The following is a 16,344-nucleotide window of genomic DNA, read 5'->3' on the forward strand; positions in this document are numbered from 1 at the left end:
GACAAGCCTGCCTTATATTTCTTACCAGGAAATATATATCATATGCTTTTGTCATAAGATCATCAAGTTTCTAAATGTCCAGAGTCCATTTCAAAGCCCGATTATTTAGGGATTCAAAAATGTATTTAATTTATCTCACAAGCCTGGCCCAGGTAGAGACCAAATCACCAGCCAGAACACAAGAGGCTGCTGTCAATTCTGGTTTTCTTGTGATGATATTGGATTACGTCAAAGCCCAAACACACATTGCCTTTGATGTTACAATATTATGAACTACACAGTTTTTTATTGTCTTTACTGTATCTTAGCACTAGCTCCACTAGTTTGTGTGGCTTTGTACAAGTTATGGAACTTCTTGCTTCCTAGTATAAAATGGAAATCATATCCACACCTCATGAAATTATGAATAATAAATGAAATACTTGCTACTGTACCTGGCACCCAGTGATACATGAAAGCTATTAACTAAATTAGTTTGAATTTTGTGTTGTTTTTTCCACCTCGTATTTCAAAGTCTTAGCAGTGGGAGCTGAACAGAGCCTCAGGGTCTTCTGACCAACCGCTCTCTGGGGTGCATTGCTGGGGGATGCTAGACACTTTCTGAGGAGCATCTCAGACCAACCATGGATTTCTGGGCCCTTCCTTCCCATCCTGGGACACCTCACTGCTCCATTTCTTGGCTGTAAAGAGATGTTCAATCCAGCATGTCTGATGGGTGCATCACTGGCCTTTCGGTTGGGACACTGTTATTCGTGTGAGACTGACCCATGCATTGAAGGAGCCTAAGCCATCCTGGGCCTCTCCCATTACATGCCAACCACCACTGTGACAACCAAAAATTCCTCTACAAATTTTCAAATCTTTTAAGGCAGATGATGCTCCTTTTCCCTCCACTGAAAACCAGTGGCTCTGGCCAGACTCCACAGAGGTCATCAGCAAGTAGAAGTGCATCATACTAGGGGGCAACATGCTGCCCCTGTCGGTACTTTTCTTTCTGTGACTGGAGTCAGCCACAGCTTGTAACTTCAGTTTCCTGATTTCCCCTTCATATGTGTCATAATTCACCTTATACACTACTGCCATCATTCTATCCACTTAAAGACCTGCAATAAGTAACTCCCTCTACCTGCAGGATCAAGGCCAGTGCCTACAGCCCAGGCTGGTATTCACTGAGCCCCTTCCCCACCGGGCTGGACTCTCATAATTCATCTTCAGTCTCATTTCACACCTGCATCTGGGCTTCAGCCTCCTTTTCTTGGAGCTGATCCCCATTTCTATATTTCCATCACAGTCTAGCTTTGCAACTTTTTCCTACCAATTATCTGGTCCATGCTGATCTTCTATCTGAATTTATTTTCTTAGAACTTCTTGCTTAAGTTTGGAAGAGGGCCAATAAATGATCGTGCCTGTGTCCAAAGGGGCTGACACCTGTGCAATCCTTCAGTTCTATGAACCCTAACCTCTACACTCTAGGTACCCCTTTGCCCTTTCTGTATATTCTTCAAACCACCAGAGGAAGAAGAGCAATGTTTTTTTCACTGCTGTGGAAGAACTGCAGTGCTCAAGGAGGGGACCAGGATTCATCTGAGCAGATCCAAATGCACTGTCTGATGACAGGGAGTGTGGACAACGTGCTGGAACATTTAGCAGAGCATCAGTCTGGGGCATGGCAGCCCCTAGCTGTTATTTTCACTGAATGGGGGAAATAAAAATTCTACAGCTAATGAATAATTCTCTTTTAAAGTGCAAATGAATAAAGTGAGTTTTGCCAACTCCTACCTTAATAGAACTTCATTTCACACAATTTCAAAATAGGATTTTTTTCGGGTCATTTAAAAATGTTCTCAGAGCAACAATTCTAGAGCAGCACCCCAGGCGGCAGGGCACATATTCAAGGAGAAAAAGTGAAAAACCTTCCAATTTCCATGATTTCTTTTATTGGCTCTCTTATTGTCTCAGTGTCATTAATTAACAGTTTCTTATTTCTCATTTATTATTTCTTATTTCTTATTATGAGACTTTCTCATGCTGACAAATAGCACCACAAACAACATAATTCATTCTGAGAAGCCACATTCCTGACTACTTCTGGATGTACTTTAGAGGGCTACCTTGGTGCCATCGACCTGACCTGCGTCATGCTTTACAGGGGAACGTGACTTGCAGTGACAGCGTCCCCTCCTGGATGCAAGCAGTGACAACCATCACCATGTCTTGAGCCCTTGCCCATGTCTTGTGGGCCAGGCACTGTGTTAAGCAATTTCTGTGGATTATTTCATTCAATCATCACATTGATAGCATTAGGTTCTACCATTGGACCCATTATATGGATGATTAGGCTGAAACATAAATAACTACTCAAGAGCACCAGGATAAGCTGCAAGGCCAGTGTGGGACTCCAGCATTCTGACAGTGCGGTTTACTTTGCCACTGTCCCATATGTACTCTATTGTGAAAGGGGGAGGGAAGCTGAAGACTACCTCCATTGCTGTCAGACAAGGTGGTTGGGCAGAGGACAAGGGCTTGGGGTTGGCTGATGTCTCTCTCATTTGGCTAAAATAACTGTAGGCCAGGTGATGAAGGGACTTGCCCTGGACCACATTAGTGATTGATGATACAGCCAAGATAAGAGTCCAGAGTCCAGCACGTATTCCTCCCCTCACTCCACTGTCACTTAGAAATGGCACCTCTGTAGGTGAGGAACATAGATCCCACTCCACACGGGAAGATGTCAATGAATTCAAGTATATAAATGGACATCAGATAAAAATACTCCTTTAAAAAATGTATGTAAGAGATTCTCCTTTGATGTGGCATTCAGGAAAAGGCAGAAATGAGATTGCACAGCATAATTATAAGAGCAAATCTATGTAAACATGCATCTCCTCCATTCTGTCACCTTACAAAAACTTACTGGTTTTGTTCCTCCTGAAATGTTAATATCACCATGGCAACAAGAATATGTTTAATGCAATAGACACATGGCTACTTTCCCATAACTCATATTCCTTTGCTAAGGCTCTCAAATCCCCATTTTCATGGGGAGGTTTACATAACCCTTAAAAGAAAGAAAAGAAGTCTTTGTCTTTAATGCTGTTGAGCCTATACTAGGAGATAAACCTATTAAAAAATATGTACCAATAAAAAAGAAATGTATGTGTGTGTGGTCTCTGTTGGGATAAACATTCAAATGCCAAAAAAAGTCTGCTATAAGTGGTTTTTATTTTCTCACTTGTGATTTATTGTATTTTGTTTAAAGCATGATTTGTATAATAAGAGGAAAATATACAGTCATCCTATGGTATCCATGGGGATTGGTTACAAGACTCCTGAGGATGCCAAAACCCATGGATGCTCAAGTCCCTTATATAAATCAGCATTTGCACATAACCTACACACACTCTCTGTACACTTTAAATGATCTCTAGATTTATAATGACTAATACAATATAAAAGTCATGTAAATAGTTATTATACTATATTTTAAAATTTGTATTCTTTTTCTATGTTGTATTCTTTTTTATTGTTTTTTTTTTCCCCCCAAATATCTTCCATCCATGGTTGGTTAAAACCATGGATGTGAAATCTAAGAATGTGGAGAGCCGTTAGTATTTTAAACATATGTTTGCAAATGCATCACTACACAAACCAAAGTAGAGTCTCCAAAAGCCCTACACCCTTGTAAAACCATCAGGAGTTTGCCACACTCTTACTGGAGCCAGGCTCACCTCCTCTCCATGCTCCAGTAGCTGATGTCCTTTCTAGCATCTTCTGGTGGTCACTTGGGGCCTTCACAGCCCAGAGCCTGAGGCCCTGCTTAAAACACTCTTAATTTTGAACAAAGCTTGGCGATAGACTTTTAGCCTAGGCTTAGCCCAGTTAGCCTAGGCCTGTCTTCCAAGGTCATCTACAGAGCTGAATGCAAAGTCTCCTTGCTGCTCAAATAAACTTGCCCCTCTGCCTCTGACATTGGGTTTGGTGCACTGGTCTAAAATTCTATTAGTATCCTGTGAATTTTTCCATCTCCCTTAACGCAGCTGAGTTTAGTTTGGAAAGCAGCTCCTAGACCAGGAGAGATTCAAGTTGAAGTAACAGGAATTTTGATAGGCTAGGGAGAGGAAAGCAGGTTTGTATAGGTGCTGGGTGACCAGGAGTGGTGGACAGGAAGGCCAAGAAGTGATTTATTCATTCATTTTTGAATTCAATAAATATATACTGAGTCCCTCCCAGCACCAGGTACTGGGCTATACTCCAGGGATTCCAAAATGTGTAAGATGACACAGGTCTGTTCTTGGGGAATTCAAAATCTGCATGTGAGATGAAAAACAGGATGTGGGAGAGAGCTATATTTTATTACATTTTTACTTTAGCCCTCATAGGATTGTTATGACAATAAGTGTAAAATGCCTAATAAAGAAGCTGGATAATAAATTATAACTTAAAAAATCATTATTACTATAAATATCACCTGCAGAAGTAAAGAAGGGAATGGACATTTACTGAGCACTTATTTCGTAGCAGGCAGAATTGTTGATGTTTTTACATTCATTGCCTTCTAGGTGAATGAAATGCAGCTGAACATTTTGGTGACTCTATTAATATGTCAAGGAAGGTAAATAGAAAAAAGGCTATCAGGCAGCAAAAACAAATCATCCTCTGAAAGACTGAGAGAATTAAGTTCATGTTAAAGTCACTTGCACAGAGCCAGGCACATGGTAAGCACCTGGGGACCAAAGGAAAACCTAGAGACAGAGGATGACTAGGGCATCTCAACTTTCCAGGGGCTTAGATAGCAAATAGAGTGTGCAAAATGGACAATAGCAGATAAATAAAATTATATTTGAGGCCTAATGTGAGTGGAAGTACAGGCTGTGATGCTCACCTATGGGGTCAGGGACTAACCATCTTCCTTGAGGGAAATGTTGCATTTTCAGATCATTATGACATTGAAGGGAAGGAAGGCCTAAGATGGATGGTGTCATGGCTTCATTCAAAATAACTTTCTATGATGATGGACATGCGATATATCTGTGCCATTTAATAAGACAGTAGCCACTAGCTATTGAGCACTTAAAATGCTCTTGAGAATAAAAAAAAATTTATTTAAATCAAAGCTAGTTCCCCAGGTTAGTGGCTACTGAAGTAACATAGCCCAGGTGTAGAGAAAACAGACTTTCCTTCCTCACTGGGGCCCAGAGGTGGTTAAGAGGCCTGGACTCTGGCTAGGAGAGATCTGGTAAAGGGGTTCCCACTTGGGGGAAATGAGATAGACTCTGCAACACAGTGGTCTCCGGGGGCTCAGAAGGGGTCACCAGACGAACTCCAAGGAAGGGGGCACAGCCTGTGGTCTTTGGGGACACTGTTACAGAGGACCTATCCTTCAGCTTTGCCTTTCTGCTTTCAACTCCTTTCATCAATTCCTGAGTTTTTAGAAAAGTCCTATTCAGCATTATAGCCTAGATGCAGCTATGCTTTGGGGACTTACGGGAGAAATTGTATTATATGGTTTGGCACCTTGGTGCCTGAACAAATTGGTAGTGTAGGGACTAATAAAGTACTAAGTATTCACACATTAGTAACAAGTACTAATGGTAGAGTAGGTAACTCAAGTCTGAACCTTCAGGTCCAGCTTATAGTAGATGCTCTATAAATATTGCTAAATTGGATTGAATTTAGAAAAGAAATCCCCCAGATAATGCTCATCCATGGATACTGTTTTGCTCATGCATGTGCTAAGCCATGTTGGCCTCAGGTTTGGACAGAACATAATTCTTTTAAAAAAATAATCTCAACCTTTATATTCAGGAGGTATATGTGCAGGTTTGTTACGTGGGTATATTGCATGACACTGAAGTTTGGTGTACGAAAGATCTCATCACCTAGGTTGTGAGCATAGTACCCAATAGGTAGTTTTTCAACTCTGCCACAACAGTAGTCCCCAGTGTCTATTGTTGTCATCTTTATGTCCATGAGTACCCCACATTTAGCTCCCACTAGTAAATGAGAATACGTAGTACTTGGTTTCCTGTTCCTGCATTAATTTGCTTGGGATAATGGCCTCCAGCTGCATCCATGTTGCTGCAAAAAACATGACTTTGTTCCTTTCTCATGGCTGTGTGGTACTCCATAGTATATATGTACCACATTTTCTTCATCCAGTCCACTGTTGATGGGCACCTAGGTTGATTCTGTGTCTTTGCTATCATAAATAGTGCTTCAATGAACATGTGAACACGTATTTTTTGGCAAGACAATTTATTTTCTTCTGAATACATATTCAGTAATGGGATTGCTGGGTTGAATGGTAGTTTAAGTTCTTTGAGAAATCTCCAAACTGCTTTCCAATTTGTGGCTGAACTAATTTACGTTCCTACCAACAGTATATAAGTGCAGAAGAGAAGTCTAATCCTTTTATTTTTCCACCAACAGGCTTAGTAGTTCAAGTATCTAAAAACATTGCTCTCATTTTATCCAAACATTAAAATATCTTAAATAAAGTAACCCTTTGTATGATTTAGTAGGGTTCTGAATGTGGTCCAATATCGATCAAAACCTTGTATAAAATACCCAATATTTGAAAAAGGCAGCCCAATGGACATGTTAACCAGTCACTGATCTGTGCCATACATGCCAAGTTCTTTCCTACACAACTAGATCATCATAAAGTTAAGTAGCTGGGCCACAGTCTCTCAGCTTCTCTGGGCAAGGTGCCTTCACAGATGGAGTTATAGCAGTCATAGGCAGTAGGAAGTAGAATTGAGCCTTTTGAAGTATAGTAACTAAAGATATTGCTAACTATTTAATTCTCTGTTCTTAAGGATTCATATGATAAAAATAATGTTTGAGTTATTTCACACAAAAATTGTCTCTATAGGTAACTACAGGATTTCAGTTGTCAAAAGTGGAAACTCTATTATCCATGCTTCCCTTTCCACTATATATATCAAAGCTTTTAAGGCCTATATTTATTTTCCATTGTATTTACTGGCTCATTCCTGCTGCTTGGTAACATTTACTTTTTTGGTTCCGCCCTTCACGTCTGTATATTTTAATCTGTAAACCACCCGAAATCTTTTTGGAAACAAATGAGGTATAGAATCCAAACACATAAATCCCTAATCCTTTCAGAGATCAAAACAGAAAGTGCTAAATGGCAAGACTAACAGAAGAATGCTTTATTCAATTATCTTCTCAAAATGGGAAGTTGAATAATAATTTACAAGAGAAAGGCCAATGACAAGAGTGAAGATTAGATTAGGTGGTCCATTGTATTTGATGAAAAAATTCAGCCAGCAAAGTATTAATCTATCTTATTCAATCAATAAAGGGAACTTTGCAGGCAACCACATAATACAATTTGGCCTTTTGTTACTCTAGTGCACAAATGCTCCTTACTGGAATGACAATCAGTACTAGCTCTAGTATGTTTTAGTTACATTCTCTTTCCCAAGAGAGCTAGAATGATTTGCAAAGAGAGCAAGGGTCATGCATAAATTCAGACAGTGTCAGTGCCATCTCAGCAGACTCAGTTCAAAGAATGAAGAATGCTGACGCTGCATTGCAGCATTCAGCAGCTACTACATTAACTCCCTGCAGCAGACCCATGAGCCTGAATAGATCTCCAAGGATAATCCAAAAGGAAATATTGACGATGTCAGACAGGATATCTTACATATACCTAGTAAAATTACAATGCAAACATCATAATAAAAATTGAAGGAAAGGTGTTATTGAAACAGTTAAGTATGCTATAAATCAGTTACCGGAACTGCTACTCAGAAGTATACATTCACCACTGACTGGGACCTGCTTTACTGCTGCATGAATTAGTTGGCACTACAAATGAATACAGAAAGCAATTCCTTCTATTGTTTACTCCCTTCAGTCACATCGCCTTTGTTTCTACCTATTATCTGCTTTGGAAAGGAACATCTATTGCATGCAGGAAAGATTCCAGAAGTGTTGTCATTCTTCCTCTTCCCCAGCTCTCTTTGCTAGCAGGTGGTCACTCTCTGGGACATTCCCTCAGTCTACAGTGCTATAAAGAACTGCAAGACTTTATCTGTCATACTTCTTTCTTCACTGATTTAAATCTTCCACTCCCTACTGTATTTTGTCACAGGCAGAAAACAGAAATTGCAGCCCCCCAAGACAAAGGGTGCTGCTGTTTTTTAATCTACTTCTAACCACCTCATCAATACCTCTCTCCAAACCTAGCTCTGAAGCATATGATTTATGGTTACAATTTGCAGCCAATTCTTAGCAAATGAGGCTTAATAATGCTCCCTTTATTGCTCTGACTGGATACAATTTGATCCTGTCTGCATTCAGGGGCCTCTTACTTTCACCTGCTATTTCTGTTACCTTCTTGAGAGAACTATGACCTAGAAAGACTCCTTGGAAGCTGGGAAGGGAGAAGCCTCTGTAATATGAAAGTGGAGATGCTAGATTATTATACAACAAAATTGCTACAGATGTGGGACCTCAAATGGATTGCTTGAGGCAGCTGGCAGTTGCCTCAGTTTAAGCTCTTTAAAAAGAGTTCTCAGGTACCCTAAAGCCAGTCATCAATCACCCACTGCAGAGAGAAGCATAGCTCATTTGGGAATATGCAACAGCCCAAGCCTCCTATTAAATAAAATCAAATTCCACCACAGCCTTCAGCTCAGAATGCTATTAGACCTCATTAATTAGGAAAGACTGGGAAAAATGCATTTCTGAATCAGTGAAAAGTCTGAATTTTAACATATTTTAAACAAAAGCACAGTGTAAGTATTTTAAATCATATATGGTAACTCAGGAAGGTTAACAACGTGGGTCTGATGTCTCCACTGATTTTTAATCAATAAATAAGCATCTTTTGTCATTACCACAGTCATTGTTTTAATGCAAATGAACACTTTAGAATCACTTGGAAAAGTCTGAATATACTGTAATATGTCCTCTTAAATTGCTTAAACATTTCTCTAATCCTCTTGTTTTTAGCAACATCAGAAAATTTCTGAACAAAGGCACAAAGACAAACTTCAAACACCACCCTGACATAAATTTTCTGAATGTCCTAATTAGAAGATGTAACTTAATGAGGTTTTATTATGCTATGAATTACAGAAATAAAACCAGAAGAATGCATCTTGAAATGAACTTCAGCTTCAACACTGACATACCCTGTTTATACTTGACTTAAAGAAGGGCTTAGCTTTGTCCTTCAAAGTGTCAAACTAGGCCTTGGATCTGCCACATCAAGGATGTAGTTAACACAATAAGAAAAATTGTGAATAAAACTGACTGACGCTCTCCAGTCATTTAAACTGATGAAGGCTTTCGGCAAGCTCATGACAACAGGATAGGAAATAGCTTTTCTATTAGTACAATCTCAGCCCTTATTAATTTTTATAGAACTAACAAATTATAAGAGGGAAAGTAAAATAAACCCCTTTAAGTTACCTAGGGGAGAGAATAGTGGTTAAGAGCTTTGGGGCTGAAATCCTGCCTCTTCCAACCTGCTAGCACTGTGATCCTAAAGCAGCTACTTCTTATCTCTAAACCTAGGTTTCTTCTTCTGTAAAATAAGGATAAACTGTACCTTTCCTTATATTAGTATACGTGAGATAAAATGCATAGCCTGGCATCTTACAGTCAGGAAAGACTTCAGAAATGATATTATTTTTACTGCTGATGCAACTACCACTGTACTGCTGTTGCTAGCATTATACACTATCTCCCTATCTAATCTAGTTTCATTTCTCTTCTAAGAAGTGAGGGTTCAGCAAAAAATAAGACTTCAAATGCTACGTTCAAAATAACAGTGCTGCTTGATATTGTGTAGATGTATGTCCCCACCCAAATCTCACGTTGAAACGTAGTGTCCCATGTTGGAGGTGCAGTCTGGTGGGAGGTGATTGGATCATGGGGAAGGACTTCTCATGAATGGTTTAGCACCATCTGCTTGGTGCTGTCCTTGTGATAGTGAGGGAGTTCTCATGAGACCTGGTCATTTAAAAGTGTACAGCACCACTCTTCTTGCTCTCTTGCTCCTGCTCTGGCCATGTGATGTGCCTGTCCCTGCTTCGCCTCCTGCCATTATTCTTAAGTTTCCTGAGGCCTCCCCAGGAGCCGAGCTGGTGCCAGTATCATGCTTCCTGTACAGCCCGCAGAACCAGGAGCCAACTGAACCTCTATTCTTTATGAATTACCCAATCTCAGACACCTCTTTATAGCAATGTGAAAACAGACTAATACACTACTGCCGCTGCTGTTAGTGATGATACTACATCAGGCACCGGCTGAGTGATTTACATATGCTATCTCTTTTAATTTTCAGTGACGCAGTGAGGGAGAGGTGATATTTTATAATTGTTTATTTAATTTCATAATTCATATTATCTCATCTTATAAATGAGGAAACTGACAGACACAGGGAAAAAAGTGAAAGCCAAAATTTGAACCTAAGGAGTCTCAGAGTCCAGGATTTCAGCCACTACTTCATCCTGCCTCCAGCTTCACTTGTACTTCCAACAGTGTTTCTGATGGTCAAGCTGAACACCAGTTTTTAAATTGAGAGCAGTGCTACTATGTTTGGATGTCCAACCTGCTGTGCAGTGGGCCATATGACATTGTAATTCCTTTCTTCAATGGATATGAGCTTACTCAGGTTACACCAACTTGTTACTCATTATGAAAGTTTGTAGGGGACAGAAGATAAAGGCAAAAGATGGTCTCATTATTTGGATTCTGTAGTTTAGGCCTCACCCAGGTATTCCAGAACATTCCCATTGTAAGGTCAAGACCCTGATCTCTAGAGCACTGAGTGCCATCTGACCAATTTCTAAGGGTTTCAGAAATTTTAACTTAGGGAACTATTTGTTGTCCCCAGCCACGATTCCTTGAATCACATCTTCTATATATGCATTTATAGATTTATTTATCATCCATCCCAGCTAGCATTCCTGATCTTGGTTTACCTCTCCTGCTAGGAAACAGGCACACCTATGTAAAATCAAGAACATACACTAGGATGAGTAGAAATCATAGCCTTCACTGACTGGAAGGACTCTTGGAGAAAATTTGTCCCAACATCCTCATGTTGGGGAAAGAGAGTATAAAATAGTTGCAAATGCTTTAAAGGTATTACACATTGCTGTGCTCTTACCCTTGCGGTGAAATCCACAGCAGCCGCTCGGTTTAACAGCAACGTGGCTACATTGATATTTCCATAGTGAGCAGCTATGTGGAGCGGAGTGAAGCCACTCTGTAAAGAAAACATAGCAGACATTCAATTGATTCCTGCCAGCCCCCTGCCTGACAGGCAAATATCATAACCCTGCCCAAATAAAAATGAGGAAGCAAAATATGCTGAGGTCTATGTTCCATTCTGTACTAGGTTTCGATCAGTGCCAATTGCTCACAGGGTTTCTAATAAACCCCAAACTTACAGGCAGAAGAATAGCCAGGGAGGAACCAAGGGTGGAGACTGAGCAATTTTAGTAATCCAATAACAGAACTATATAAAAGCCAACATTTCAAGAAATTAAGATAGAGATGAGAAAAATCTTTATAGCTGATAGCTTGATTAGTGCCGCTGTTTTATTACTGACGATAGAATTGTGCATTGAAACTCAAAATTCAATTAGTTTATATATTTGATATAGATTCATATTACTGAACAGTAAATGCCAATTTTCATGACAAAAGCAGTTTTGGGGGGAAGACGTACTACCACAAAGTTGGTTTTATATAATGGGCAATTGTATTCCATGAAGAATCCACAAGTTAATCTCTTTGTTAGCCAATGCCTATTCAATAACACATGTTTTTGGATTGTTCATACCAAGGTCATTTTACTTCCTTAAAAAATGCTAAAACATGCAGCGATTCACTTAGTCCCCAAAGATTGAAACCTTATAGGAACTAGATGCATTTCTAATTTGTTAGCAAGCTTCTTAGCCATGCTAGCTATCTCACTGAGTCTTGTAGAAGGGTGGGTCATATTGACACCATTCTGAAATACCTTTCCTTTTGCTGACACCACAGAGGGTAAGTGTCATGCACAACCCTAAAAAACGAGTCCTGGATGAGTAGAATGACAGGGTTGTCTGCAGCTTTAGATATAGCTGATAAACATCTAAAGTGTCCAGACTCTTCATCTCACACAGCTCTATTGCAATACCCTTAAGAGTCAAGGATTCCTCATCTCTTTCAAACACCAGGTTCAGCTGCAGAAAGCCCTGGTAATCAAACTACTGCTATCTTATCTGGCACATGCTCCTTTGGGGAGAGGAGGGATTGGGGATAAAGCAGGTATCTAGCCTACAGAAGGCGATGCAAAGAAGAAGGGAGAGACATGAGGCAGCAGCACTAAGTCATGGGAAAATGATGATGCAGATATAGACTACACGTATATGCATATATATATATACCTCTGTTGTTCTATTCACCACCATCTAGGTTAACACATTTGGAAGCAAAGAGGAGGAAAAAATGAACGGTTAGTTCACTATTGGTGATATGGATTGCAGAAAGCTCATGACAGCTAAGTAATGAGGATGGAAGCTCTGATGAAAGCACAATAGGCACAGAAAGAAAGCTAGACTGAATGATGGGCTACGCAACGGCCTAGTCCAAATGTCACATTTCCGTCACAGAGACTTTCAGGTACCACATGTCAAGACGATGGGAATTTTTGGCTGCGGCTCTCTTGCTGCTGGCATGCTTTCCGCAGCTGATCTACGCTCAGTGCCTGGCCTGTCATCTTGGGTATCAACCAGAGGTTTGTTTGTGTACACTGTCTTCAGTATTTTGTAATTTTTCGCCCTGATGTTTGAGCTGAACTGTTGAATATATTCCAAAACTATATTCAAAGGAAAGAAATGATCACTGCATAGAAATTGATTTCTTCTGAGGTGGCCTCCCTTTTAGCACGCATAGGGCCGCATTCCCCTCACCCCCCAACTTCTCATGTGAAGGGAGGCTGTGCCTTCAGTGGCTAGCTCAGACACACATTGTTCCTCCCTTCAATGAAGTTAAAGGCATGGCATAAGCTTGCGAAGAGGGAGACCGGGTGCTCTTAAAGGTTGTGTGTCTAACACCGGAGAGTTGCATGACAGGCCCGTGTCCCTCGTGCCTCACCTTTGATTCCACATCTGCATTGTTGTCATTCTGCAGCAGCAGGGCGGCGGCTTTCGTGTCGTCTTTTCGGGCCGCGATATGAAGAGCTGGGAGACGCACTTTTCCTTTGGTGTCATTCTCTAGCAGGAGCGAAACGACTTGGTCGTGACCTTGTTGCAAAGCCACTGCCAATGGTGTGAAGCCATCCTGCAAATAAATGGATGGGTCAAGATGGGCTCCAATGAATATTTTCTTTTTTATTAAATTAACAAATAAGAAGGCAACCAAGTGACCAAGCATCAATTTTTGTTTGGGATTATTAAAACTAACAACATATTTGAATGGACAGAAATGTGAAAGATATTTTCAAAAAAAATTTATCTATACAAAGTAAAAAATACTAAGAAATTTGTAATAAGTTCATGGGTTTTGGTTTTCTTTTCCATTAAAAATTAATATACATTAATTGGGAAAATTTTGAAAGTGTACAAAAATACTACATATAAAAGAAAAAGTTGCTATAATATCAATATTCATAAAATAATCTCAGGGCCAGGTGCGGTGGCTCATGCCTGTAATCTCAGCACTTTGGGAGGCAGAGGCGGCCAGATTGCCAGAGGTCAGGAGTTCGAGACCAGCATGATCAACATTGTGAAACCCCGTCTCTACTAAAAATACAAAAATTGGCCGAGGGTGGTGGATGCCTGTAGTCTCAGCTATTTGGGAGGCTGAGACAGAGGAATAGCTTGAATCTGGGAGGTGGAGACTGCAGTGAGCCAAGACCATGCCATTTCACCTGTGTGACAGAGCAAGACTCTGTCAAAAAAAAAAAAGAAAAAAAAAAATCTCAGGCTAAATCCAGGCAAAGTTTTCAAAGGAGATCATTTAAATAAGATGTAAACATTTCCACTGATTTTTAAAAACTGAGATGTATGTCTGTCTGGTTCATTACTGTGCCCTGTTGCCTCGCATATTCCTGGTGCTGTCAGGATAGGTGAATTCATGAACTGTACTCATTGTTGCTTTATGAAAGATCTATAGAGGCTAAGGTCTCTAGAGCTAAGAGAAAGACTCTTGGCTTCTGTGACCATTGAGAGAAGACAACACAAAGATCATGCAAAACATGACTCTATATATTTATTCTGGTTATTGTCTTTTTTCTTTTTAAATTTTATTTTAAATTAAAAATTATAAATATTTATAGGGGTACAAGTGATATTATGACTTATGAATACAATGTGGACAAATCCAGCTAAGTAACATCTTCATTACCACACTTATTTTTTTGTGGTGAGAACATTTGAACTTTATTGTCTTAGCAATTTTGATATGTACAATACATTATTACTAACTCTGTTAATCAAGTTGTGCAATAAATTTCAAAAAAAGCAAAATAAAAACAAAAACTTATCCCTCCTCATTGACCATTACCTCCTGTCTCCCCATTACTCCCAGTTCCTAGCCTCTGGTAACCACCATGTTCCTCTCTGCTTCTAAGAATTTGATTAAAACACGACTTTAGAATAAATTCAGACATAAGTGCACACATACATACTCTATACATTTTGACTCTCCCCTTTGTGTTGCCCTGGGACTTGATAAAGGGGACACAGCTACAGATTTCACTGCAGTGAAATTAACTTGTGGATTACCTAGAGTTGTTGAATGTAGAAAAAACAGCACAGGGTAGAAAAATCCTAGGACTGGCTCACAAATTGTAATTCTGCAAAGGTTTCATTATTATATACTCAAAAGGGCATTTTTTTTTTAACTAGAGAACTGGCATGCAAGTTACTTATTATTTTATTTGGGTCATGATATTTTATTTCTGTAGTCCCATGGTAAAGAAAAGCATTTGGAAAACACATAGGAGCACATATGCACCAAGGTCTTCCTAAAACATCCCTTTCAACATTCCTTCCCTTGCTAGCATATGGAGAAAGGCTCTCATAATTCATCTGACTGAATGCAAATCAGCATACTTATATCCAAGATGTGCAAAACATTGACCCAAAGCACTTAAGGGACATTATTGCTCAGTACTGTCCCCTATAAAGTCCTTTCTGCCAGTGTCTGTACTGATTATGCACGTACAGACTTCACTCTCCTCTGACACCTGTACTCATGCTATTTCCCCCACCCTGAAATGCCCTCTTCTTTTCTCTATGTATACAAATCCCCTCTACCCTCCATGCTTCAAGATCTGGCTTAAATGCCACCTGTTTCTTTTAACTTTACTACCAAAGACAGCAGGAAAAAGGAAAACAATAACATAACCAAAACAACTAGAAGGTTATTCCCTGAAGCCTTAAGAAAGATAACAAACAGGGAAAGACTAGATACATCCAAGATGTCACAAAAACGATATCATAGGTTTACACTTAAAGACAGGAACTTTAGGATATAACAAGAAAAGTAGTCTACATGTCAATGTAAATATATATTTTCATTTTCATAAAGGTACATACATGTATCTAATGTGTACATGTGCAAGCAATCGGGTAAAATGTTATCTCTAGGGAAAATTAACAGAGATTTCTTGCTTCTTATTGTACTTTCTCATTTATGTAATGTATTACTTTTGCAAAAAAAAGAAAATATGCATTGTTTAAATAAGAGTGTGGCAAAAGGAAAATTGTGTTTTGAGATTTAATTTTGCATCTCACTTAAAAAACCTGAACAAAAGCTAAGGGGTAAAAATGACAGTCCACTTCTGCTCTGAAACCAAACAAAATGGCTACATTTCCACTGATGAGAATTTTAAAATTCACAGGACCTATACATAAAGGAAACTACTTTGTACCAGAAAATAAACTGCAACTGAGCCGATTAGCAGTGACAAGAATATGTTTCCTGCATAAGCCAATTAAAGACACAAAGATACCAGCTCTAAGGTGTTAATAGCTAAAATTAGCAGCTCCAGATTTTGTTTCAAAACCAAGTTTAAATGGTGTGGTTTGCTTTGTGCAGTTATTCTTCAGAGAAAAATGAGCAGAAAGGAAATGTGATAGAGGCTACTGGAAAAAAGGTCCATCCCCTGGTTGCTCAAGGATATCCAGTACCTTATGAAGTGTCTGAAACATAATAGGTGCTTAATAATTACTCATGGAATAAACGAACAAACAAATATACTGTGTGCTTCAGAATCGTAATTAGCAAAAGGAAGATTATATATAGAGAGAAAAGATATGAGATGCAGTACACAGTAATACAAAAACGTTTTAAAAACCACAATTA

The 16,344-nt window shown here is 39.4% G+C and overlaps 1 protein-coding gene across 4 annotated transcripts in view, besides 1 other annotated feature; it reads right to left on the reverse strand.

The window, feature by feature from the left end:
* The window catches only part of ANK3 (ankyrin 3), a 707,231-nt gene that overhangs the window by 224,409 nt on the left and 466,478 nt on the right, over nucleotides 1-16,344 (reverse strand). For all 4 annotated transcript variants that reach the window (NM_001204403.2, NM_001204404.2, NM_001320874.2 and 1 more), the window contains 2 exons: nucleotides 13,129-13,314; nucleotides 11,153-11,251 (listed from right to left, as the gene is read on the reverse strand). In NM_001204403.2, coding sequence (NP_001191332.1) covers nucleotides 11,153-11,251; nucleotides 13,129-13,314 — 285 coding nt within the window. The remainder of the gene's footprint in view (nucleotides 1-11,152; nucleotides 11,252-13,128; nucleotides 13,315-16,344) is intronic.
* Nucleotides 7,632-8,133: an enhancer, noted in NCBI's record as "NANOG hESC enhancer chr10:62018096-62018597 (GRCh37/hg19 assembly coordinates)". NCBI's record gives its function as "activates a minimal SCP1, AML or CMV promoter by ChIP-STARR-seq in naive and primed H9 embryonic stem cells {active_cell/tissue: H9 hESC(naive and primed)}" and the evidence as "EXISTENCE:reporter gene assay evidence [ECO:0000049][PMID:30033119]".

Source organism: Homo sapiens, chromosome 10 (assembly GCF_000001405.40).
Source record: "Homo sapiens chromosome 10, GRCh38.p14 Primary Assembly".
Taxonomy (NCBI): domain Eukaryota; kingdom Metazoa; phylum Chordata; class Mammalia; order Primates; family Hominidae; genus Homo; species Homo sapiens.